This window comes from Homo sapiens, chromosome 11 (genome assembly GCF_000001405.40).
Source record: "Homo sapiens chromosome 11, GRCh38.p14 Primary Assembly".
In the NCBI taxonomy this organism is placed as follows: Eukaryota; Metazoa; Chordata; class Mammalia; order Primates; family Hominidae; genus Homo; species Homo sapiens.
In genome coordinates, this window is record NC_000011.10 from 126,532,102 (window position 1) to 126,558,286 (window position 26,185).

The 26,185-nt window shown below is 50.1% G+C and overlaps 1 protein-coding gene and 1 long non-coding RNA gene across 18 annotated transcripts in view, besides 2 other annotated features; one reads left to right on the forward strand and one right to left on the reverse strand.

Annotated features, from left to right (window-relative positions):
- The window catches only part of KIRREL3 (kirre like nephrin family adhesion molecule 3), a 580,037-nt gene that overhangs the window by 108,744 nt on the left and 445,108 nt on the right, over window positions 1-26,185 (reverse strand). Inside the window, exon 3 of one of the 17 annotated variants that reach the window (NM_001441252.1) lies at window positions 2,672-2,779. The exons of the other annotated variants lie outside the window; for them this stretch is intronic. Within the exon in view, the coding sequence (NP_001428181.1) occupies window positions 2,672-2,779 (108 nt within the window). The remainder of the gene's footprint in view (window positions 1-2,671; window positions 2,780-26,185) is intronic. 17 annotated transcript variants of the gene reach the window in all.
- Window positions 11,364-11,870: an enhancer, noted in NCBI's record as "H3K27ac-H3K4me1 hESC enhancer chr11:126413360-126413866 (GRCh37/hg19 assembly coordinates)". NCBI's record gives its function as "activates a minimal SCP1, AML or CMV promoter by ChIP-STARR-seq in primed H9 embryonic stem cells {active_cell/tissue: H9 hESC(primed)}" and the evidence as "EXISTENCE:reporter gene assay evidence [ECO:0000049][PMID:30033119]".
- KIRREL3-AS1 (KIRREL3 antisense RNA 1) overlaps window positions 11,726-26,185 on the forward strand; it is a 68,564-nt gene continuing 54,104 nt past the window's right edge. The window contains exon 1 of the long non-coding RNA NR_174952.1: window positions 11,726-12,143. This is a non-coding gene — a long non-coding RNA (KIRREL3 antisense RNA 1). The remainder of the gene's footprint in view (window positions 12,144-26,185) is intronic.
- Window positions 11,871-12,375: an enhancer, noted in NCBI's record as "H3K27ac-H3K4me1 hESC enhancer chr11:126413867-126414371 (GRCh37/hg19 assembly coordinates)". NCBI's record gives its function as "activates a minimal SCP1, AML or CMV promoter by ChIP-STARR-seq in primed H9 embryonic stem cells {active_cell/tissue: H9 hESC(primed)}" and the evidence as "EXISTENCE:reporter gene assay evidence [ECO:0000049][PMID:30033119]".

Below are 26,185 nucleotides of genomic sequence, written 5' to 3' on the forward strand. Positions count from 1 at the left end.
CTGTATACGTTGTTTCTGGCATGCAGATTAGCTGTAATTAACCACATTTTATAGATGAACCAAGGCTCACAGAAATGCAGGGACTTGCACAAGTTCACTTGATTAGCTCAGGTGTCACTCAAACCCCAATGGTCTGGGTACAGCCCTATTTTCTCACCACTATCCGATGTAGGTTGTTGAATCAAGGGTCTCAAGCCCAGATTTTGATTCTTAAGCAAGTACTCACTCCACCAACAAGGCAGCCTACTCAGATTATTTATCTATTTTTATATTTATTTATTTATTTATTTTGAGACGGAGTCTTGCTCTTGTCGCCCAGGATGGAGTGCAATGGTGTGTTCTCGGCTCACTGCAACCTCCCCCTCCTGGGTTCAAGGGATTCTCCTGCCTCTGCCTCCTGAGTAGCTGAGATTACAGGCACCTGCCACCATGCCTGGCTAATTTTTGTATTTTTAGTAGAGACGGGGTTTCACCATGTTGGCCAGACTGGTGTCGAACTCCTGACCTCAAGTGATCTGCCCACCTCGGCTTCCCAAAGTGCTAGGATTATAAGCGTGAGCCACTACACCTGGCCCAGATGATCTAAAGGGAGGTAGAAGATCTTTAGAATGAAAAGTGATTTCTTGGTTTTTCCCTCAGTTTCTGTGTGTAGGCTCCTCTTCACCTATTGGTCAGTAACACTGAAACGGTTGAGGGTAAAGTTTAGTACTGGCCACCATAGGAAGATTAAAAGAAAGGAGGTGTACTAGTTACCATTACTTATAATTATTACTTAAAATGGCTATTTAATATAATTATATTATAATATAGCTTATAATTATGTATCATAAATATTTTTATTGCTATAAAATTAGTAATTGCTAACTTTTCTATTTTTTAACTTTTTGTAGGGACAGGGTCTTGCTATGTTGCCCAGGCTGGTCTCAAACTCCTGGCCTGAAGCAATCCTCGTGCCTCAGCCTTCCAAAGTGCTGAGATTACAGGTGTGAGCTACCATGCCCAGCTAGTAATAGGTAACTTTTACAGAATGTCAAGCATATAATAAAAGCTTTACCTGGATTATTTTATTGACTCACTAAAGAGTCCTATGAGATAGGTACCGTATCACACCTACGTGAAGATGAGGTTGTCTGGGGCCCACAGCACTGGCAGTGAGAAGGGATATGAGCCCAGCAGTCTGGTTCCAGAGCAGCCTCTTTGCGTCCTTATTTGGACTTCGCCCACTGTGCCTCTAGTCCTCGCCCCCAGGAACTCATAGAACCCACCTTAGACCTCCCTCTCCCACTGCCCTTGGCCAGTACTGAAAAGTCTCAAGGAAACTCAGGAAGAATAATGTACACTAGCTCACTTCATCAGTTCTGTGTATAATGTCCTCATGAACACAGTTCTCTGGGTGGATCAGAGTTGACCAGCTATCCAAGAGTGACTGAAGCCTATGTTCACCTTCTTTAGCTCCCTGAGAAGGTGAGCGCAGACCTGCAGGTCCTCCAGTCACCCTTGACCCTCACAACCACATCACTCACTCCAAAGAACCCCTCTCTCCCTTCACCATTTGGACTGGACAAGCCCCTTGGGATGAAGGCAGATAGTGCAGTGGTAATGAATGGGGCTCAGGAATCAGACTGACCTGGGTTTGAATCCTGGCACTTCCATGAACTTGCTGAGCCTCCATTTTCCTATCTGTGAAATGGGGACAATAATACCACCACCTTGTGGAGATAGAGAGGATGCATCTGGGCCACTTGACTCCGGGGCTGGCTCACAACAAATGCTCAGGGGAAACCGACCTTCTTCTCTCAAAGCCACCCTCTGTCCTGAACACCAGGCCGCAGGCTGAGCTCCATAGGGCTGGGCGACGGGAAGCGTGACCTGGAATGGCAGGTGGCTCTCTATTGGTGTGAAAGGGGGAGGCAAGGGTGGACTTTTAATTACTATCCAATGACTTATTGAAGAGACAGTTTTCACTAAAGACAAGGATGTACTCTCTTTGCAGGAGGACCTCAGTGTAGCATCCATGGGTTCTCAGGTGGGTCTCAAGGCTGGTGTTTGTGGTAGGTGAGCTCAGGTGTTGGAAGCCTTGGCCAGCTGCTGTGAGCCATGCCCTGTGGGGGAGAAGAGGTGGGAGAATGTTCCCCCAGGGCTGCAAGGGGGCTACTGGGGTGGAAGGGGTAGGGGGCGTCTCCCGGGCCAATGAGGGCTGGCTTGGCTCCGCATCTGACTGGCGCTGAACTAGCTTCCGTTAGTAGAAAAAGGCTGCGTGTGCATGAACCTGCCTGGGCATGGCAGAGGAGCAGGCCTGGGAAACACAGCGGTCTCTCTCCCACATTCGCTTGGTTAGGTGGCTGCAGAAGCACCTTCCTGCTCGCCGCCTGGAAGGTAGGTCATGTTCCTGAAAGCGGGAGGCTCTGCGGGGCAGGGTCCCAGGGTTCTGAGACAAAGCCCTTTGTCTCTGAGTGAGAGTCCCTGTCTGGGATGCTTGCCCCCAGCCTGTGCGTCTCCCCTGCACACCCAGGCTGTTGTGACCTGCAGGGGCCGAGAGAGCACTGCGCCATCTGTCCCGGGGGCCCTTTAGACCACTGGGTAAGGCAGCTGCTTTTCCCTTTGAGGAGAGTGGCAGAATCAGAGGAGAGCCTGGGTCTGCCACCCCCTCGTGCCAAGTTCTCTGCCCTACCTGAGAAGGTAGAAGCTTCAGGAGTGGGAGCAGGAGGTCGAGGTGCTGAGCAGGCAGGGCCTTTTGCAGCCTTGTCTCCAAATTGCAGGAAGCAGTGGCTGTTTCTGGCTGGGAACAATAAAGGGGAGGGGGGCTTGGATGAACCCTGTCCTGATGGGCCACGTGGCGTCCCTGAGTCAGGACAGCTGGCACTGTTGCCAGTGCTGGTGAGTGGCTGGTGGGAGGAAGTGTGGAGGTGGCAGCAGCAGTGACAGGTGTGGCCTGGCCTAGGGAGGTGGGCAGGAGGTGGAGCATTTGGTGGCCTTTTGGGGGCTCTGGTTATGGGGCAGAGCTGGGAGCAGGCAGATGGCATCCTCAGATCAGTGGTGGGGCTGGATGTCTTCCCCAGTTGTTTCCCCACCCTCCTCCATCGGGACTCCTCCTGACTGCTCTTCCCAAAAGCCCCCTCTAGATTTCCCTCCTGCGCTTACTCCTGCCTCCTGTCAGCCCACCCGGCTTCCAACCTGGATGCAGCGCCCTCATCTTAATCTCTTTTCTGGGACTCGCAGCACACATTATCACGGAATGAACCATCACCATCTGGCTCCCAAAGTCCCCACCAACTTCCAGTGAAACATTGAAATGCAGAAGACCCCATGTTTCTCTATGACTTGCACACCTGTGGCCCCATTCTGAGGTTGCCCCTCAATCCCTAATTATTTCCTGAGGGGGAAGAGTCATTTTGCCATGGAAGGCGCAGATTACAAGGGCCACGTCACTCGGTGTGATGGTCTTAGGGCAGCACTGCAGGGTGCTGGGTCGGGTGTGTGTGTGTGTGTGTGCACGTGGGTGTGTTTGTCAGATTAACTGAATTGGCCTCAACCCCACCTTTTCTCCAGCCAGACATTTGCTGCTTCTATTCCTTATCAAGCACTTAAGATTTTGGTTGAGGGCTGGGCCCGGTGGCTCACGCCTGTAATCCCAGCACTTTGGGAAGCTGAGGCGGGTGGATCACCTGAGGTCAGGGGTTCGAGACCAGCCTGACCAACATGGTGAAACCCCGTCTCTACTAAAAATACAAAAATTAGCGGGACATGGTGGTGCGTGCCTGTAATCCCAGCTACTCAGGAGGCTGAGCCAGGAGAATCCATAGAACCTGGGAGGCGGAGGTTGCAGTGAGCCAAGATCGCACCATTGCACTCCAGCCTAGGGGACAGAGTGAGACTCCATCACAAAAAAAAAGATTTTGGTTGAATGAATTTTTCTAGGAGAATCCATAGAACCTGGGAGGCGGAGGTTGCAGTGAGCCAAGATCGCACCATTGCACTCCAGCCTAGGGGACAGAGTGAGACTCCATCTCAAAAAAAAAGATCTTGGTTGAATGAATTTTTCTTAGTTTTACAGAATGTTGGAAAGCATAGGCCCTGGCAGGGCCATCTTGGGGAACTTTGGAAGGAACAGTGATCTGGTTCGTCTTTGGGGTCCAAAGGCCTTGGTACTATGGTGTGTGTGTCTGTGTGTGTGTGTGTGTGTATCGGATAGGAAGGTGGCCCAGTATCCTGGTGCCCATAGAGGCTGGGATCTGACTCAGAGGAGCCGTTGCTTACTCCTCCCTGCCACCCACAACTGCCAACCCTAAATCTTCTAGGGATGCATTCTGGAACTCCACTGTCCCAAGTCTATTGCTACCCCATAGGCACATGTCTCTGCACTGTGGTTCCACAGTGGTGGTGAGAGGCACAGATCTACAGGGCAGCATGGACTAGTACAAAGAGTGTGGGATTTGGGATGGTTGTGTAACAGGGGAGATAAAGCTTTGATGCAGACTCTGCCCTGGAGCCTGATGTGGGATCGGGGGTGCTGAGTATCCCCTCATGGCCCTGGGCAATGCTTTTTTTTTTTTTTTTTTTTTTTTTGAGTCTCGTTCTGTCGCCCAGGCTAAAGTGCAGTGGTGCGATCTCGGCTTCAGCGCAACCTCCGCCTCTTGGATTCAAGTGATTTTCCTGCTTTAGCCTCCAAAGTAGCCGAGACTACAGGCATGTGCCACTATGCCTGGCTAATTTTTGTATTTTTAGTAGAGACAGGGTTTCACCAAGTTGACCAGGCCAGTCTCGAACTCCTGACCTCAAGTGATCTTCCCACTCTCAGCATCCCAAAAGGTTGGGATTACAGGCATGAGCCATTGCACCCAACCCCTGTGCAGTTCTCTTTCCATCCATGCTTGGAGGCGGCTCAGAGGCAGGCAGGAGGTGGCTCAAGGGTGGGCTCAATCCCTGCCTCCCCTTTCTCCACTGGTTATTTGGCCTGGCCTTTGTTCCAGCAGCAGATTGAGGGGACATGACCACTCCCCTTAGGATTAAACCCAGTCAGACCTGGACAGGAAGTGAGGGTCACTAATATAAGGATGGAAATGCTTGTCCTTGCTTCTAAGGAGCCTGGTGCTGACACATGCACACACCCGCCTGCATGCCTGTGAGTGTGGGCAGCCCAGCTGAAACCCTGCCTGCACCCCTCAACTCTCAGGACATTCTGTGAAACTCGCTGAGAGTCTTGGATGGTCACATTTGACCACAGGTTACTGGATTACAAGGGATAAAGTGGTCTCATAGAGAAGTCATATAAAGCTTTTCAGGGGTTTAAGAGAATCTTGCTTCAAGCAAGGGAGTTGTGGGGAGGAAGCAGAGAAGGCATCCTGGAGGAGGAATCATAATATGGGGAAAGTAATGGAGGAGAAATGTCATTCTGGGGTAGGAAAAAAAATATAAGCAAAAACATGAGTGATGGGTCACCCTCTGTCACCTGCCTGGAGTACCTAACCGATGGGTCACCTGTCGGAGCCTGGGTCCTGGACAGTAGGAAGAACACAGGGTCAGTCAGCCCTAGGAAGGAACTCTGGCCCTGTACCTAGCAGTGTGATCTGAGGCCAGTGACTCACCCTTTCTGAGCTTCAGTTTCCCTATCTGAAAAATGGGGATGACACGCCTCCCTGGCAAAGCTGCTGTGAGCATGAGAGGTTTTATATGTAAATGATCTTGGTAGACAGGTGTTTCACAAAGGGTCATTCTTACTTTCGTCACTATCCACAAGTCTTTCCTGAGCTTGGGACTGTTAAAACAGGAGCCAGAGGAGCACCTGTCTTGCGGAGTCCCAGAGCTGAGAACGGAGGCTTTGCAAATCTGAAGTTGCACCCATTAGAATGCTGCATGGGTGGTGCAGGAGACAGTGGGTGAGCCCTCCCATTGGCTCTGCCTCTTTCTTGAGCTTGGGACTGTTAAAACAGGGGCCAGAGCAGCACCTGTCTTGCAGAGTCCCAAGGCTGAGAATGGAGGCTTTGCAAATTTGAAGTTGCACCCATTAGAAACCTGCATGGGTGGTGCGGGAGACAGTGGGTGAGCCCTCCCATTGGCTTTGCCTCTTCTGCTCATCCGGGTTGGCTTCACAGCCTCCTGGAGTGTTGTGTCAGCCATGCAAAAAGGGCTCAAATGTCACCATCTGCCTTTTATTAGTGACCAATTGGAGAAGGCTTAAGAATACTTATACTGGGGTTATTTATTGCCGGCTTTCTCCCAGCCTGGAGCTTGTAAATTGCCTCTTATGAGATTAAGGGAAGCTGCCCCTCCAGAGAAGCAAGCAAATAGGAAGAAGGGAAGGAGAGAAGAAGTCAGCTCAGTGGCTCCTGGTGACATCAGAACAATATCGGGTAGGGTGGGAAAGACAAGGGCAGCGTGACTCAGTTCATACCTCGAAACCCAAGTCTTGAATTCTGCTGTGTTCCTGCTGCTCAGCACAGGGCCAGCATCTAACACAGGAGGATCAGCTTTGAGAAATTTCCAGAATGCCCAGTTGGTGACCTGCTCGGGGAACAGGATTGGGGGTGATAGAGTATGTTCTGACCCACTGACTGACGGATAAAAATGGATTTTTATGGAGGTTCTAGGGGGTTTCAGTCACTGTTTCAGCTCTCAGGATGCCATGGTGCCTCAGGCATGAGCAGGAGCCACCTCAGCAATCTCCAAGTCCCCAGGTTGGGTGTGGGGTGTGCAGGAGGGGCTGATATGTCTTCCGCTGAGTAGGCTCTGGAGCTGCGGGGAGGCAAATATGTGCAGAAGAAACTAGAATAAAAAGCTCTACACCATAAGCGTCAGAGTGAGGCACAAAGTCCCAAAGAAGGAGTCACAGAAGGGTTGGCTTCTGAAATGGCCAGGATGAAGACAAGGTGGGAATGTTCCCTGGAATGGGGAACAGCTTACGTCAAGTGTGGAGAACAGATGTGTTCATGGAATAAAAGCAGCAGTGCCACATGGTCTAGGCTTGATCTCTGACCCTGCCATTATGGCTGTGGGTCCCTGGGCAAATTGCTTAGTCCCTCTGAGCCTCAGTTTCCCCATTGGTTTAGCAATCAATACTTGTTGAGTTGTTTGTGAGAATGAAATAGGTCATTCTCTGTGATGTGCACAGAGCCCTGCCTGCCTTCCATAATGGCAGCTGGCAGTATCATTACAAGCCTAGCAGGCTGGGTGCACGGAGCATGTGTGTGCAGACTCTCTTAGTACAGCGCAAATCTAGAAAGTCCTGGTGGGTCAGACCGTGTGGGCCCTTGAACGTGTGCCAAGAAGTTTGTACTTCATGAGAAGTCATCAAAGGTTTTTGACCCACATGCTCAGATCTGAGTTTTAGAAATATCACGGTGATGACAGGGAGGAGGATGAATGAAGGAGGATAATCTGAAGACAGGGAGACTGATCAGCAAGGTTTTGCTGTCATGAGGACTCAGGCTAACGCTGCATCAATGGAAAGAAGAAATGGATTTAGGAGCCATTTGGGGGTAGAACTGATAGTACTTGACCAGGGATGAGGAAGATGAAAGTGTGAATGGATGATGGAGGAGCCATTTGCTGCTCAGGAGGAGAAGCGCGCTTGAGGTGAGGCAGTGAGTTCAGTTTTAAATGTGTTGATGGAGAGGGGTCCAGAATCCCCCAGGTGATGCTGTCCCAGATGTAGTTGGGTCAATGGTTCTGGAGCTGGGAAGGAGGTGTGAAGAACTCACACTGACTGAGCACTACCTATGGGTCAGGCAGTAGGAGAAGTATTTTCAGGTGTCCTCTCACTTGGTGTTGACCTGATAATTCAACTCCAAATATGGAAAGTTATAGATGTTGTTGTGACTATCTAAGAGGGACAAGGTTACTCCAGTCTGGGAGTGTTGGGAGTAGCTGCCTTGGGTGAAACATCTAAATCTTGTTGAGGTTTGCACAGGTTTTGAACCATATCGGGATGGCAAGAGATCATCTAACCTAATCTTCTCCCTTTAGACTGGGATTGGAAATATAAACAGAGAAGCCAGAAGAACCAGGCAGGGGTAGAAGACAGGGCCTTTTCTCTATTGTCTGTTTCTCCTTGATTTCTACTGGGAGAGAGACAAAGAAACACTTTCCATCCCAGCATCGCCACCTGCAGCCATTGGTAGCTTGATTCTGATACACACGTAAGGAGAAGCTTGCCAGTCTCATGAACATTACAGAAATTGCACTAGAATTTTACTTGGACTTACAAAAAAGAGGCTGACTGCTCTTCCCAGGGCTGGATGAGGGGGTGGAAAGTCTGAGGGCACATTCCCCTATGCTTGTTCCTCACCCGGGCTGAGCCAGTGTGGGCAGCCTGTGATTCTCCCAGCCTCGCACTTCTCTCCCAGGACACAAAATCCACCAAGGTTGTCCTGGACAGTGTGGGTCTTTAACGAAGAGCAATCGGGCTGGCCGAGGCAGGGTGAGTCCAAAGTCACTATAAATCCTTTGCCTACTGATGATCAGGCTCGCGGCCCCTGCCAAAGCCTGCACTGTACTCATTAGTGGCAGGGAGAGGGATTCTTCCATCGATCCAGCCAAGGCCTGGATGCCACGAAGACACTGATAAGTGCTGCTGGAAATATGGGCTCTTCAGTGCCCATGGCAGAGCCCATCCATCCCTGCCCGAGGTCACCTGGAGGTCTAAATGAGACAGGACGGGCATAGCAGAGTGGGTTTATGGTGGGGGAGTGGAGATGGGAGATGCTCGACAGCGCATGAAGCAGAGACCCTGGCTGTGGTCTCAGGCCTGTTGCTGGCCAGCCATGGGACCCTGGCTAAGCCCCCTTTCTTCTCTGAGTCTCAGGCTCTTGTGTCTTCTGACTGGAATGTGCCCTCACTGAGCCGGCACCTTGGGATGTGTTGGAGCAGCATGGAAGGAAGAGAGTGGCACTAAGGGGCAGGGATGGAACTATGCCATTAGCTCAAGAGGGAGCTGCAGGCTCGGCTATGGGCAGGCTCGGCTACAGCAGACAGAGTGCCCATCAACCCCTCTCAGAGGGCGTCAGCGTGGGCACCACCAGGAGAGGCTGGAGGCTAGGTCATGGATTGGCTGACTCCAAGATGCCCAGCACCTCTTGCTCCCATGTCTAAGGGGTACTGTATGGACACATGAAGCTTTGTCCTTGTCCTGGGCCCAGAAGGTACCAGTTGATGCTGCCTCTGCCACCTCTTAGCTGTGTGCCCTTGGGCCTGACTCTTTAACTAAGACTCAGATGCCTTATCTGTAAAATGCAAGGTTTAAGCGCCTTCCTCCCAACCCTAATGCTTGATGTTCTAACTTATCCAAAATCCTATTTCGGGGGTGGGGGGTGGTCCTAAGGTTGAAAATAATAAAATCAAGGTGCAAAGAAGTGAAAGCAAGTCTCTCAAGGACACTTGGCCTTTTGGGGGCTCAGATCTATATCCTAAACATTAAAAAAAGTAAACAAAATAATCATTTATGCTGCTATAGCCTTGTCAGTCAGAGACGGTTCTAAAACTTCCATGTGCATGAGGATCACCTGGGGGACTGGCTAAAAATAACAGTTTCCTGGGCTCCAACTCAGAGATTCTGGGATAGTGGCTCTGAGCTGGGTCAAGGAATCTGCATTTTAATAGCTTCTGGGTCATCCTTCTGCAGGCGGTTTCTGGGCCACATCCTAAGGGCACTGTTGTGTGCCCACAGCACGGGCTTGTGGGCCTGGGTTATTTCTAGTTCAGGCTCTGTCACTGGGTGGCCTTGATTAAGTGGCTGTCTCTCTCTCGGGGTGCGCATTGATGTTCCCACTGCACAGTGAAGGCATTTTCACACCTTTTGAAAGTTCATGCAACCCTTTTTGTCAGTGAAGTCTCACAGGGAATCCCAGTGTATAAAACGGTGGAGGCAGAGCTGAGGCAGCGCGGGAAGGACCGAGTCCTGCCCTCGGCAGCCCTGCAGCGGGCCCTCAGGACCCTCTGTGCAATGCTCAAGGATTCCAAAGGCCCTGTGCAGTTTTGATGCTCTTCAGGTGTCCTGTGAAGGACCACGTGGCTATATCCCACTGACGGTGTGAAAGCAGGCCCACCCGGCGTGCACTGAGTGACTCAGGCAGGCTGGTCTGAAGCACGAGGTGCCTTGGTCTTGCTCTCTGAGCCTGCATGGAGAATCACAGCTCAGACCTGGTGCTTATAGAGGAGTCTTCTCATGGTTCCTGGAGTTGTTCCCAACTGGACACAGACCATCTTGGGGCAACGTCCTGGGTTTCTCCCCTCTTGGAGACCAAATACAATCAACTCTTAATTATCTTTGTTAGTGGAGAAGAGCAGGGTGTGTATAATCTAGAATGATGGACAATCCAAAACAGTGAATAATCCTAAGTAACATTCATTTTCGACTTTGGAATGCATTTTGATATTCACATTTGAATATGGATATGTTTGATGTTCTAGGAATTTTTCATACTTAAAAAAAACACTCAACCCAAGGGTGGGGCTCCCTCTCTGCCTCCTACTCAGCTGAGGGGAGAACATCACCTCTGGGACTGGCCCAAAGCTACAGTCAGGTGCACCCCACCTTCCCCATCTCCTGTCTTTATGGCTCACACCTTATCTAGGAAGGGAGGGGGATATTAACAGATTTTGCCTTTAAAGGACTTTTATTCCCTTTGGACCTTATGCAAATAAGAGTAAAATAAGAAGCTGTGAAATGTTAACAGAGGACTTCATTAAGCAAACTTGGTGATAGCATTTGCCAGGAATGGGGACAATTTGCCAACAGATACTTGAGTGCTGACTATATATGTGTCCTAATTAAAAAAGTGATACTTCTCACTGCCCTGGGATTGTGGGCCGTCTTCTGGTGGGTTTGGGATATTAACCACAACTAACTCCGATACAAAGCACTTCACATACATTATCTTACCTAATCCACCTTCATAGCACCCCGTGGAGCAGGTCCCATCATCAGCCCCCATGTAGAGACTTGAATATCACAGCTCCAAGCCAGATGTCCCCCGTGAATATACCCTCCCAATTCTGCCCTATTCTACTCCACTCTGCCTCTCCTGTCACCCCCCAAACAGAGGCCCTGCAAAGCCTCAGCTGGTCTGCATCAATCAAAGAGAACGAAGCAAAACTAACTTGCCATTACTGCCCTAGTCTCTCTGATTGTTGGAAGTAGAGATGTTTCAAGGAGAGGTTTTGTGCTGGAAGCCCCTTGAAAGGATGGAGAGGGAGTGTGAGGACTGCCGGAGACGCCCAGCCTAGGAGGGGAAGCTTTCTGCTTTTCCAGCAGGACAGAACTCCTTAGAAGCAGGTGTAGCCCTGGCTCATATCCACCATCCTGAGAAATAGAAAATCTTTCCCATTTTACGGACAAGGAAACTCAGAGAGGTTAACTAACACATCCAGGGTCACAGGGTGTGGTAGAGGTAGGGTTTGAGCCATTTGACTCCAGGCCTGGCTTTTTTTCCCCCAACAGTAGCCGGTCAGCAGAGGGTGTTTGATCTGTGTGGTTTCCTCTTCAGAAAGCAGAGACTCACTACTGTGCCCCCTACCTGCCCCCAGCTGAGCTCCAAAAACAGCTATAAAGCTGATGGGAAGCCGATAGGACAGCCCCTGCCCTTCCTGAAGACCACGGAAACCTCTCCCATGGTGCCCTTGGGGCTGAGATCAGCTCTGTCACCAATACTTCAGGGCAAAAGTCGTTGGCACCACTTTTAATCCTAATCCTGTGTGGCCTTATTCAGAAGCCCTTTGCAAAGGCCGATCCCTAGCCATAGCTCTCTCTGCTCGGCCTTGGGCTGGGTGAATAATGACTTCCATTTCCTGCCCTGCTGGAGCCTTGGGTCTTTGCCACTGCCACCGTGGTGCTGAGCCACTTATTTGTTGTGAGATGACCCAAGGAGGACCAGCCGGTACCTGCTAGGCCCTTCTGCTGGGGCACGGGGTCAGGGGGCAGCACATGGGCATGTGGCCCCACTCCTGTCTGCTCCCCAGGACAACTCTATTTTCCAGCATGGAGTGCCCCTGGAGGTGGCGACAGCTCCTCTAATAAGAGAGTTACTCATGGCTTCACTGGAGAGAAGAGAGCAGCTTTCAACCCCCCTCTCCTAAACGCAACGATATTTGGTAACATGCGGCATCTTGGGGAGAGCATTCATGTCTGTAATTAGTTACTGTATATCACGGTTAGTACTCTGCTCAGAATTTACGGGGCAAATACCATTTAACTGCACAATAACTGCAGGTCCTTGCTGCTTATTGGGTAATTTACTAAGGCTGGAAGAACGGGGCAGGAGGGATTCTGAATGGGAGGTATTGTAACCCCTTGAATCAAACTTTATGAGTTTGGGTTTGGCAGGGAGGCAGCTGCTTGCAGCCAGTTCTCTTCTCTTTGTTTTGCAGAGTTGGCTGGCAGACTGCTTCCTTCCCTTGATTTATTGCAGGATGATAGGTCTGGGACTGGGGGTGGGACTGCCCGGGGCTACCTGGGGCTATGGAAGGGACTTTCCATAGAGGGTCTTTGGCTGAGAGTCTGCAGCAGGAACCCAGAGTCGGTGTCCTGGGGGCTCCATGCAGGACAGCAAATGGGCCCTGTCATTTATTTACTCCCTCCACGGGGCTGCTTTTTGTATCTGGGCCAGTGGGTGGAGAGTGCAGGGAGCTGTCCTTGGTTGGCAGCATCAAGATAATCGCCTAAGCCCTTTCTTCTCTTGCAAGTCCGTTGCTGCCTGGGAAGCAGCCATTCCTGGACACTTGGCCGACATTCCTGGCCTTAATCTGCTTGAGCAAAGTCTGTCTTTGTTTGGCCATGCACTGTCTAAACTCCTCTAACCTATTTAGGCCACAGAGAGGGGAGAAGACACAATAATGAAAAACTCAACGTGCAACATTGCCTTACGCAATCTAATAAATTACTTGGTACCCGGCTGCCAGCTCAGACTAAGCCCAATATTGCCTGCAGTAATTATTTGGATCAAATGCAGTTTATCTGCTTCATATTTGTGCTTCTGTGCTCAGTGATAACTTATAAATGTCATTGTGGTGTTTATTTGTTATAATGAAACTTAATGGCATTGGAAGCCAAGAGCAGAACTGGTGGGGCGGCAGGTTTAAAACAATCTCTTCATCTCGGGAGAAGGAATGAGCCAAGATAACATGAAACTGCCCTATAGGGAAGAGATTTGCAGAGATAGTGGTGTCCTCGTGCTGTGTGGTGGACGGGAGTGAGCCAGGAGCTTTGAGCTGGCACCAAGGGGAGCCGTCTTTGCCTCCAGAGATATCTATCTGGATCGGGGAGACATGGCTGAGCTTCACCCTGCACTGCCCCATCTGTCCTTGCTGCTTTCAGGGGTGGGAGGTGTTCAGTCTTTATACCACCTGATGCCTGCCTGGGATAAGAGATGAATAGGGATGGAAATTAGAGTCCCTGGGCCAGGCACGGTGGCCCACGCCTGTAATCCCAGCACTTTGGAAGGCCATTGAGGGAGGATTGCTTGAGCCCAGGAGTTCGAGACCAGCCTGACAACATGTGAGACCCTGTCTCAATTTTTAAAAATAAAATAAAATAAAATAAAATAAAATAAATAAAATAAAGAACTCCTGGATGACTGCATTATGGAGAACAGGCCTTCAGGGAGAAGGAAGGGAGCAGGGTTGGAGAATAAAGGAGGATATCATGAGGGCCCAGACAGAAGGTGGCAAGGCTTTCTCTTCTGGTTCTGGAGGGCATTGGTGGTAGGAAGCACAGAGCATGAGCAGAACAGGGAAGAGCTTTCAAGGGTTGCAGGGCAGGGCCCCCACTGGCGCTGCAGAAGTACCTGAGGCAAGGGCCATTTAATGTAGAACTCAGGGTTTTGGCTTCATACAGTCCTGGGCTCTGCTATTTCCTAGCTGTGTGGCTTTGGGCAAGTTATTTGTCTTTCCTAAGTTTCATTTTCTTTATGTGGAAAATGTGAGTGATAATAGATACCTCTCAAGATTCTGGTGATGATTAAATGAAGTGATGTGTGTAAAGTAATGACTGTGGTGTTTGGCACACAGGATATATGATAAATAAGGGGCTGTGGCAGTGATTGGCACATAGTAGATGTTCAATAAATGTTGAATGTATCCATGAATAATAACACTTCCCACTTGTGTGCATTACAAAACCCTCCTCCAAACAGCTGAGCTTGGATTTAGACCTCACAATTGTTCAGGGTTGATCTTCTCATTTTACAGTGGGAAATGGAGGCCCAGTGAGGTTATGGTAACTTGCCCAAGGCTTCCCAGCTGGTAGATGGAATGGGGTCTTAGTTCTCCTACCTCCCAGGGCAAGGTTGCTGCCACCAGTCCACCCTGGACAGCTCCCAATCTGTGCTGGGAGACTGACCTCATCCTTCCTGATGAGCTGCCCCTGCTCCTTGGAGACCAGGCACAGAGCCTGTGCTGACCTCCCCAGCACAACCTGGGGGCAGAAGCAAGCGGGCCGCTTTCTGTCCATTTCATCTTAATACAACATTCAGCATTCACTCATAAAATATTCATTTTCTCTCCTCGGTGACATGCTCATGCAAGTCTCCTAACATCATAAATATGGATGAAGACTATTAGTCATTTTTATTTATCTCACTAGCCCCTTCCCTCCCCAGCACACCTTTTGTCTTGATCTCAGCACAAATGGGACTGAATTGGGGCTATTAACCCGGATCTCTGATAATAAAGCCTTGCATCCTGTGGTGCTTTATACTTTTTTTCAAAGCATCACGCAATCGTGATGCATATTTTCTCCTTACAACAAATGCGTGGAGGAAAGAGGGCTAGCATCATGAGTATACCCATTTCGCAGATGAGAACATAGAGGTCAAGAGAGATCAAGGTCAAAGTCATATACTGAGACAGGAACAGAACTAATTTTTAAAAAACATTATTATTGTTATTTGTTTGTTTGACCTCCAAGGAAAGGTTCTCTGGGACACTGAGTGTGTTTGCTTCACACAAATAAATAATCTGTATAGTATTTTACAAGTTTATAAAGAGTGTTCACCCATGTTACTTGGTGGGTCCCCACAAGGCAGGTATGATTTACTCTTGTTTGACAAAGCTCACACAACCAGTTAGTGGCAGATCTGGGCTCTAAAACATTATTTCCCAAAGTGGATTTCAGGGACCACTAGTCCTGACACATGCTGCAGGAAAAATGTTTTGTGGTCAAATGAGTTTGGGAACTCTGTGAGTCATATCCCCTTTGGGTGGCTTACCATGGCCTTTGGTGTATTAGTGTCTCTGAGAAGTTCTGCAGGAAAGACTCTCATTTTGTTAGGTCTCATGTAGCTTCTCCCCACCGTGTCTAATCACGAAGGCTGCATCTGACGGAAAACCTATTAACATGCTACAGAAATGCTGCCTGTGTGTACGCGTGATCCCTCCTCCCCCGTGTGTTTGGAGGCAGTGAGGATTAGAGCGTGGCTGGGAGAGGAGCGTGCAGGGGTAAGGACGGGGTAGGGGACCCACTGCTGGGGACTACTAGAGCTGAAGCTCCCCTCCTCAGGCTGTGTCCTCTCTTTCCCTCTGGGCAGTGCAGAAAATTCACTCAATATTAGGCACAGTCAGCCCAGCCCATATCTGGGGCAGGATCAGAGGGGCCGCCTGAGTGGCGGAGTGGGGGGTCTGTGGTCAGTGAATGGTGGGAGATTTGGGGACGGCAGTCCTTGGCCATGGGGAAAAATCAACAGGGACCCACAATAGGGGCTTAGTCAAGTCTGCCCTGGACGATGGTGGGGAAGTCACCCTATCCTCGTCGCCCAGACACAAAGCTCCCGAGGCAGGGTGGAAGTAAGAAGGCCAGGCTTTGGCGTTCAGCTGGCTTACTCTAACATCTGTGTGCCTTTAGGTGATGATCTAATCTGTCTGAGCCTCTGTTTCTTCCTCCTCAGAATGTGGATAACACTACCCACTTTGTGACGTGGTGAGGATTAGATGGTGCAAGTGTGCAAAAGTACCCTCCTTGGCCCTCGTCTTTGTGTGTCAGCTCCATCTCTCTTCCCCTGCTTTTTTGGAGCCCCTCAGTCAGAACAAATAGCTTCCCACCTCCAGTCCTCCACGAGCCTGTCATCTGTACCTCTCTTTAGTTCTCCCATCGCCCTGCCTTCTGCCATTTTATTATATGCCCATCTCCCCAATGGACCTGAAGTTCTCTGCAGGCTGCTGCTGACTCTCTCAGTGCCCACTTGTATCTGCAGGCCCGACCATCCCGCGTCTTCAGGCCAACCTCCCATTGCCGGTGTCTGGACCCCTTCTCTTGAGGGCTTTCTCTTTAGTTGCGGAGGCCACTGTGCCCTCACACAGAGCAGGCCAGACCTGCTGGGAGACAACACCCTCACCCAGCAGCACTCCACCCATGCCCTACAGGAGCTGGTGCAGAAATACCCCACCGCTTGGGTGCCCTAGCTGTGAGGTGGTGTTCAATAGCACTTCTCAGAGTTTCTTACTGGGACTGGGCTCTGGCTGCCCATAGTGGTAGCAGGTTTGGGGTCCCCCCATGCCGATGCCTCCTTTCCCATGTCAATTTCCAACCCTCCCGCTGGCACCTCTGCACCTTCATGAGGAATGACTACACTAGCGCTCTTGCTTAGGGCCTGCTTCCAGGGGAACCTGAGGTAAGATAAGGGCATCCTCCAGGTGTCATTCATCTCTGCGTACACAGTGGGTGCTGATGAATCTCTGAATCCAGCAGAAATGAGCCATAGGAACAGCGCAGGGGTGACTGTCAATCAAGGCAATGACGTCAGTGGGCTCACCACGTGGGTGGGTCCTGGGAGCAACGAGATAGAATACCTGCTCCCTTCCACATCTGGAAGCATCCACAGCCACACTCACACCTCTGTACCTTCCCCACCTAATGTTTAGTCAAACCTTGGCAGGCACAGAGGAGCTGAGGTCCAGGGTCCTTTCTCTATGAGCTGAGAACAGGTTAGTGTTGTGTTTTGAGATCCTTTTATGAATAATGGTTGAGAAGTGCTGCTCTTTAGTACTAAGAATAGTGGTTATTCCTAGTGCATTTGACTCGGAGATGGGGACTATTCCATTGCTCTATTTGTCCCACACTCGGTACACAGTTACTGAAACTGTCACCGTGTCCTATATTCCATAGGCCATTATGTGTATTTCAAACCGTTATATAAATGGACTTGATTTGGCACTTCTGAATGTCATTAAACTCCTCCCATACCAGTAACAACACAGTTTCCATAGAAACGAATACATTTCAGAAAGGAAGGCACAGGGAAGAAAGCAGATGGAGTTAGGGGGAAAACGCGGCCCCCTGGTTCCTACTTCCAGAGCACAGGGCCCGGCACTGTGACATGAGCACTCTGTGGAGGTGGGGCAAGCTCCTTCAGGTTTTTATTGACTCCCTTTGATAAAAGCCCTGGATAATTCATCTCAGCCTGAACCTGCTCATTCCAGCGCACGGCTCTAAAAACTTTATGGCACCGCAAGCCATTAAGCGCCTTCGTTTATTCCAACTTCTCTGGGGCTTTCTTCAGACCCTGGGGAGAGGGCTGGGGGAGGGTCTCAGCACTCAAAGAATTCTGTGATGAAGCCTTTGAGGCTGGCTGGGGATGGAAGGAAGAAGCAGAGAGAAGAAAGGAGGCCTCCCCGGTGCAGTTGACATAGTGGAGACCCCAGGATCTTGCCAGTGGCTGCTGTCCAAGTCACTGGGTCCCCTCGTCATCAGTAAAGCTAGAATGCGAAAACTGCAGCCTCCTGGGGTGGAAGCGGTGTGGCGTTTGGAGAGCCTGGCTGAGGAGCTGCCCACCGCCTCGGCAGGCTGCAAGTTTCTTGTCTTTGGAGGGATTCAAGCATAGGTTGCAACAGCCTCTTAGAATAAAACATCTCACAGGGCTTATTTCTCCAGAAGCCATGCTGGACACTCCTCTCCTGGCCTACAGTGTGATTGGATTCTCCTTCTCTGTTTCCAATAGCTACTTATTCATACCCGGTTACCGCAACTGCGACATTGTATTGTAGTTGCTGACGTGTTTGTCTCTCCCCGCAAGACAGTGGTATCCTTGGGGGCAGGGACTGTGTTTTTACATGCACAGCGCCAGGCACAGAGCGGGTACTGGACACATGGTTGGTGAATAAATGAGCATTCCGCCGTGTTCACAGTCTTTACACACACTGGTACTTGGCAGGGATATGGAACCAGATGACCTTTGGTCCCTTCTGGCCTGGAGAATCTGTAATGATAGGGGTCTAAGCCTGCCCTGACTACACCCGGGATTTGAATCTAGATTTCTCCTACTCCTAAGCCACAGGGTTACGTTAAGAATATTAGTCGCACGCCTGTAATCCCAGCACTTTGGGAGGCTGAGGCGGGTGGATCACCCGAGGTCAGGAGTTTGAGACCAGCCTGCCCAACATGGCGAAACCCTGTTTCTACTAAACATACAAAAAATCAGCCAAGTGAGGTGGTGGGTGCCTGTAATCCCAGCTACTCAGGAGGCTGAGGCAGGAGAATCGCTTGAACGCGGGAGGCGGAGCTTGCAGTGAGCTGAGATCATGCCATTGCATTCCAGCCTGGGCAACAAGAGCGAAACTCCGTCTCTGTCTCGAGAGAAAAAAAAAAAAAGAATATTAGTCGCAATGATAAAAGGAAAACCAGAACCAAAACAGCCACAAAAACAGCTGGGTGTGAAATGTTGGAGAAAACTCTCCCCAACTGCATTTTTCCTCTACACTCACCACAACAGTCCACACAGGAGACCTCTGTGGCCAAACAGGTGGGAGCAGCGGACACCAGCTGGGTGTCCTCCAATTCAATTCTGACACTGTCTACCTGGAGATAGTGTCAGATCCCACAGGCTGGGGGCTCAGTCCCCAAGACTTCCCCCACACCCTGGCACCTGTCACAAGTTCAGGCTTCCAGAACTTCTGGCAGACCCGCTGCAAGTTGGGGGTTCCCAAGACCTTCTGTTTGGGTTTGATTAATTTGCTAGAGTGGCACGAAGACCTCAGGGAAACACTTACCTATGTTTACAGTTTATTCTAAAGGATATTACAAAGAATACAGATGAAGAGATTGGGGGGAAGGGGCAGGAGCTTCCACGCCCTCCCTGAGTGCGCCACCCTCCAGGAAGCTTTACATGCTCAGCTGCCCAGAAGCTCCCGAAACTCAGTCCTTTTGGGTTTTCATGGAAGCATTCCTTCCCCTAGGGTGTGAGGCGGGACTCTCTCAGGGAAGGGTCTTAAGACCCACAATCAGAAAGTGGTGAAAGGTTAGAGTCCTGCGATGGGGCAGGGGAAAGGAGGGCCGGAGAGAGATCCTGTTTCCCGAGGCCTGCCCCTGAGGCCTAACACACCCAACATATGGCAAAAGACTGTAGCAAGGGCTATGGGAGTTATGAGCCGGGAACCGTGGATGAAATCCCCCCACCCCATGCGCCTCTATATAGAAACATGTCTAGATACATCATCACGCCTCAGGCCATGCCCTGACTTTCAACCACTGATCCCTTACAGCAAAAGAATATATATGATCATTTAACAATTAGTCCAGTGCACTGTATTGCATGAATGTCTCCCAGGGTGAGGCCACTCAGGTTTGCAGGCTTTTTTTTTTTTTTTTGAGACAGAGTCTCGCTCTGTTTCTCAGGCTGAGTGCAATGGTGTGACCTCGGCTCACTGCAACCTCTCCTGGGTTCAAGCGATTCTCCTGCCTCAGCCTCCTGAGTAGCTGGGATTACAGGCATGCGCCACCATGCCCGACTAATTTTTGTATTTTTAGTAGAGATGGGGTTTCACCATGTTAGTCAGGCTGGTCTTGAACTCCTGACCTCAGGTGATCCACCCGCCTTGGCCTCCCAAAGTGCTGGGATTACAGGCGTGAGCCACTGTGCCCAGCCTGCAGGCTTTCTTTAGATTTGAAGAAAAGATTCCAAAACCAGGAGTGGTCCCAGCAAACACAGCTTCCCCCTTCCAGGCATCTGGGGATACCAAGCAAAGAGACAATGTCCTCTTTTGGTTCGAGACTCTTTCCAGTTGTTAATGTAGTATTGGATTTCCTTCATTTTATAACCCATTTTTCGTTTCTTTACTCTCAGGTATTATTCCTCATTTTCTCCACTAGTCGTTTATTTTTTACCTGCACTTTTCCACCTTTGGAAGGGACATTGGGTTCGGCCACTGTGTGGTCCAGATGGCTGCTGGCAGCACTAGTCCAGCCAGTGCCTCCCCTCAGTCCATTACCATTCATACCCGGGAAGGTTACGTAAGTTCCAAACGAGTGGACTATTCTTACCACCAGGCCCCCTAGTTGGATTTACTCTTAGCCCTAATTTTGCTAGACAGGGTGAAGGCACCTCCCACCCCCATCAGGGCCCTAGGAATTCTGACATAAGGTTTAAAAACACAGTGACAGTTTTTTGCTTAGAAGTTATCTCTGTTTCCAGCACTTGTAGTTGCAGCCCTGGTCCCGGGATCACTGCATCACACAGGGGAGAGAGAAAAGTTTTTTTTTTTTTTTTTTTTTTTTTTTTTTTGAGACAGAGTTTTGCTGTTGCTCCGGCTGAAGTGCAATGGCACAATCTCGGCTCACTGAACCTCTGCCTCCCGGGTTCAAGTGATTCTCCTGCCTCAGCCTCCTGAGTAGCTGGGATTACAGGCACCTGCCACCATGCCCAGCTAATTTTTTTGTATTTTTAGTAGAGACGGGGTTTCGCCATGTTGGCCAGGCTGGTCTCAAACTCCTGACCTCAGGTGATCCACCCGCCTCAGCCTCCCAAAATGCTGGGATTACAGGCGTGAGCCACCGTGCCAGGCCAAGAAAAGCTTTTTTTTTTAGCTGAGTTGGGAAAGAAAGAAAAAAATAGTCATTATACCAGTGTACTCCTTCCTTAGCAAGAATTGCATAGTTATCTAGCATCCTTCCCACATCCTCTTCCCCAGATCAGCCAGAAAAACAGAGGAAAAAGTCTAGTGGGGACACTAGTACCACTCATGGTGTGTGTGAGCACACTCGTGAAGGCGTGCAAGCCAGCCCTTCATGCTTTTATGTCCCCATTTTAGACAACCAATATTTCAATAGCCTGTTGTATTTCTCTATCAAATTCTTACTCTAAGGAGATCTCTCTGACCATTGCTGGACATTATGGGCTTACAGTGTGTCCCTTGGTCTGAAGAAATGATGGTCAGCTGTCCAAATGCATACAATATCTTCTGTTCCATTTTTTTTTAAATGACACTCTGAGCACTTCTATCTTCTACTGAGTAAGGAAAGCCCACTCCAGAGTCAGTGTCTATTCTAGGCAAGACCCATTTGTAGACCCGCAGCACCAGTCTCACTTGCTAGCTGTGTTTAGAGCCTTCCCACTAGGGAATCTTCCACATAGCCACTGGCAGTCTCTGTCTCTCTTGCTGGCAGACAGAATAGCTCTTACTGGCATTATGTGCCTGAGAGGGTGCAAAGGGAACATGTCCAGATTCAGCCCATCTCTACACTGCTGCGGTGCCTCCATATCTACCCATTTCATGAGCCCAGGTGGCCACCTCAAGGGAGCAGCTGGGGCTATCTGCGTGTCGATTCCCGTCACCTTCTGAACCTTGAAGGGAGTTCTTCTGATGGGAACTGACTTGTTCTGCTTTAATGCACCCCTCAAATTTCCATAGGGCTGTGCTCCACATGGGCATCCCATTAAAAGGCCAGGTTTCCATTGCCCTTCTGCCTGGCCACTCGGCCAGGCCATTGGTCACTGCCCATGATTCAGTAAAACCTAAACACAGAGGCCTCTACCATTGTTCATTTTTTTCCATCACTATTAGGAAAACAGCATGCAATTCAGCTCATATGCAGACCTGTATTTACCTTGTCTGATCAAAGTAGTAACCTTCGAAACAGGTTGGTGTCCATTCACATTGGAACTGCTGTCTGTCAACCAAACAGCTCCTGAGTCAATCAAGAGCTGTTCATAATGCACTGTCCACGTGTTGATCGAATCCAGCAGCACCTCACACAGTTCCAGAGTCAGTTCTAGGGGGAGAAGAAGCTCCCTGCCTGAGAGTGTCTTGTCCTTGAATTCCACAGGCAGCATGATCCTCTAGAAACCATTTCCATTTTATGTACTCTTCTGGGCACTGCTGTCCCCATTAGAATGTTTCTCTGACATCACCGAAGACAGGATGAGTATTTCAGGTGGGTCCTGCGCACCCACCTTCCAAGACAGCTAAGGTTTCATAGCAAGGCAGTAAATGCCCTCAAGTGGAAATTCTCTAGTCCGAAGTCCTAGCAGTTGCTGCTGGGAGGTGCTCAGAGGTGTTTGCCATAAGCCCCAGGAATTGCTCCATAGAAGTATATGGAGTCTTCCCAAGAGGAGGTAAACTTTCTGGGGACCAAGACAAGTGCCCGCTGCCTGTGTTACTCTGGATGAATCACATCCCTTTCCTGAGTCTTGGTTTCCTCCTCTCCAGGTGACTGCCAATGTTTCTTTTAAAAGTCTATGATTGTCAAATTATCCAGTCCCAGCATCTTGGAGCTACTGACTAGGGGCAGAGAAGGTCACTGTCCTCACTTTGCTGACAACATCTATGCAAACACTGTGTTGGGCTCCTGGGATCTAATGGAGACCAAACAGAGCCAACTGACTGGTAGGGGAGACAGGTGTTATTAACACAAAATAACTGGGCTCCCAGCTAAACCCCACCCTTAAGCCTGGAACTGCAGCCCTTAGTGAAAACAGGTGACTCAATTTTTCTCCCAATTGTTGCTTTTTTGGCCTGCCACATCCCTATCCTGTGCCCATGAAAAGACTTCAGCTGGCAGAGTAACACAAGCGGCTGAGCGTCAGGGATACAAGTGGCTGAGTGGTGAGCAGGGCAGCAACTGGGCATCGGAGACTATGGATAGACGAGGCTAACTTCAGACAGTGCAGCTTCAGGGAATGATTGCCTTCTTCCTGCACCATCCCCTTTCCAACTCCTCATTCCGCCAAGAGCCCCTTCCATCTCCCAATAAAATCCTCCGCATACACTACCCTTCAATCTGTTCATGTGACCTGATTCTTCCTGACACTGGACAAGAAGCTGGGTGCCGAGAGGGCAGGAGCTTGGACACTGCTGTGGGGCCGCACAGAGCCTGCTTCTGCCAGAGATGAGTGACTGGCCGGTTCCAGCGTTCATTCCCTCTGGTTCCTGCACTTGCTTGCTCACACACTCCCTCTCTCAAGCAGTGGCCAGAGGTAGGCTGAGTGAAACAAGCCACTCCAGTTCCCACCCACAAAGAGGGTCAAGGTTAAGGGAATTATCCCATCTCATTAGTAAATAATTGCAATATGAATGTATATGTACAAACTGAACTCAGAGCTCTGAAAGGAAGGATCTGGTTCTACGGGAGCATGTGACACAGGAACTGGATCTTGACTGAGGAGGGATGGGTCAGTGGAGGCATCACTGGAGCAGAGACTTGAGCTGTGATTTGAAGGATGAGCGGGAATTACCAGGTGAAGGGTTTGGGGATGGGGTGAGCGTGGCAAGCAGGGTAGACACAGGGAGCAGGGTAGACACAGGCCCTATGACAGGGGCCCTGCTTGAGGAGCAGCAGGAAGGCCCATGTGACTGGAGCGCAGGGTGTTTAAGGGGGTAGGATGAAGTCAGAGGTAGGTAGGAACCAGATCACGTGGCACCTTGTAGAACATGCTAACAATGTGAGCATTTTTTTTTTTTTTGAGACGGAGTCTCCCTCTATCACTCAGGCTGGAGTGCAGTGGCACGATCTCGGCTCACTGCAACCTCCGCCTCCCAGGTTCAAGTGACTCTCCTGCCTCAGCCTCCCAAGTAGTTGGGATTACAGGTGTGTGCCACCACGCCTGGCTAATTTTTTGTGTTTTTGGTAGAGGTGGGGTTTCACTATTTTGGCCAGGCTGGTCTCAAACTCCTGACCTCAGGTGATCCACCTGCCTTGGCCTTTCAAAGTGCTGGGATTATAGGCGTGAGCCACCGTGCCCGGCCTTCAGTATTTTTTTCTTAAAGCCATTGAAATATTTTCAAAAGGAACATGACATGGTCAAATTTGCATTTCGAAACACTGCTCTGGCTAAAGTGTGGAAAACGACCTGGGCATGGGGATTGGGCATGATAGATGCAAGGAGCCAGTTAGGAGAGCCCTGATGCAGTCCAGGGGAGAGAGGCTGGGGACAGGGTCTAGGGTGGTGGCATGAGATGGAGAGAGGAGGGTGGGTACAGGAGGCACTCAGGAGATAACATCCCTAGGACTTGCTGAGGACTGGATATGAGTGTGAGGGAAAGGGAAGTTATAAAGGAACTTTGGCTGGGTGCAGAGGCTCCTGTCTGTAATCCTAGCACTTTGGGAGGCCCAGGTGGGAGGATTGCTTGAGGCCAGGGGTTTGAGACCAGTCTGGGCAACATAGTGAGGCACTGTCTCTACGAAAATTTAAAAAATTAGCTGGGCATGGTGGTGCATGCTTGTTCTTCTGGCTACTTGGGAGGCTGGGGTAGGATTGCTTGAGCTTAGGAATTGGAGGCTATAGTGAGCCACGATGGTACCACTGCACTCTAGCAGAATGAAACCTTGTTTTGGTGAAAAAAAGAAAAAAGGAACTTGGCAGGGTCTGCAGCTTAGGGGTCCACAGTCTAAGAGAGGCAGGACTCCTGGTAGGAGGTAGGAAAGGTGGCTGGAGGAATGGGCTGAGAAAAAGCTTTGGAATGTTCCCTCAGATCCTGGCTGGAGAGTGGAAACGGCAGGTCTCTTGTTCCAAGACACTGAGCGAAATAAATAACAATCATAAAGTGCCCTGTAAATCTGACTCTTGCCATAAATAATAAACAGGGATATTATACAAATAACGGGCTTTGCAGCCCCAGTGGAAGAAAACACATCAGTAAGAAAAATGAATTTAGAAAAAATGCACCCCAAAGCCCCAACTAACAAAATGACGGTATTAGCCAACATCCCGGGGGCTCGGCAGGCAGTGGAGGAATGGGCTCAGGAAAATGACTGTGGCCCTTAGCGCGAGCCAGACTGTACGGCTGCAACAGAGTGAGAAGTGCTGCCGGTAGCAGGGAGGCCTGCTCATCCCTGGGTCAGGTCCCCAGGCCAAGGACCCTGGCCTGCTGCTTCCCCTCTGCCCTGAGAAAAGCACAGCTCATCCCACAGGCCTGCCCGACTCTTTCCCTGCCACCCAGCATATAGCTGATATGGCCTGAGTTCACCCTTAATGACAGATGGGAGAAAGAAACACGGATCCACCTTCAGAGGCTGCCAAGGAAAGCCAGTCTATTGACTTTTTTGTACTGGTTCCTTTGGTGACCAAGACATTTAAAATTATGGGATGGGCTGTGAGAACAGGGTGTGGGCTGGGTGTTGAGATCCAAGATAGATTTTTGAATCATCACATTTTAGAGACATACAGGTCATCTTATGAAACATGATTCCATTTTGCACATGAGAAGGTTGAGATCTTAGTGTCTAGGGACTTGCCCAAGCTCACACAGCCGGCTCCTCACTCTTAAGTGCTCCTCCCACTACACATCCCAGCTGTGGGGCACCTCTCTTTCTATACGAGGAAACAGTAGAAGCTTTAGACTCATTTTTTTATTAGTGTACGAGGGTGCATAAAGAACAGGCTCTCACGCCATCATAAAGAACTTTAGAGCTGTCGAAGAAATGAGATTCTCAACCTCCCAGGGCTCTGACTCCCCTGTAAGGCTGGGAAGTGAGGACAGGTGCTGTGGGGGAGGGGCATTTGCACACAGAGCCTGGACTGGGACCACAGTGCTGTTCGGGAGCTGTGGGCCATGCAAGAGGCTGCTAGTTATTTATGGAACCAGCTTTCCCCTTCCTGGGTGCTCCAGCTCTTCCCACACAGGGTAGAGGTCTCCAGTCAGCAAAAGCTGCCTTTGCTAATCACTCACAAGTATTTCGTCCTGAAAGATGAAAGGGACAGCACCCAGAGGCATTTCTGCTCTCCCTTGGTCTCTTGAAGCAGACATCATTGCAATGCTGAAAGTCCACGGAAACCGACACCCACCCTGATGGGCAGCCCAAGAAGGCACCAGTGTGAGGGAGGAGTACCCTCCTGTGCAGGCCCCCCTCTGCCCCAAGGGGATGGCTGAAGGGGAGGTCAAAACTTCGGTGCCTCTGCTTCTTCCCTCCTTTAAATATCCTCTTCCTCATTTCCCCTTCTCAAGAGTCCTGTGGCCTGCCAGCTTTTCTGGTCCCCCAGGAATGGTCTTC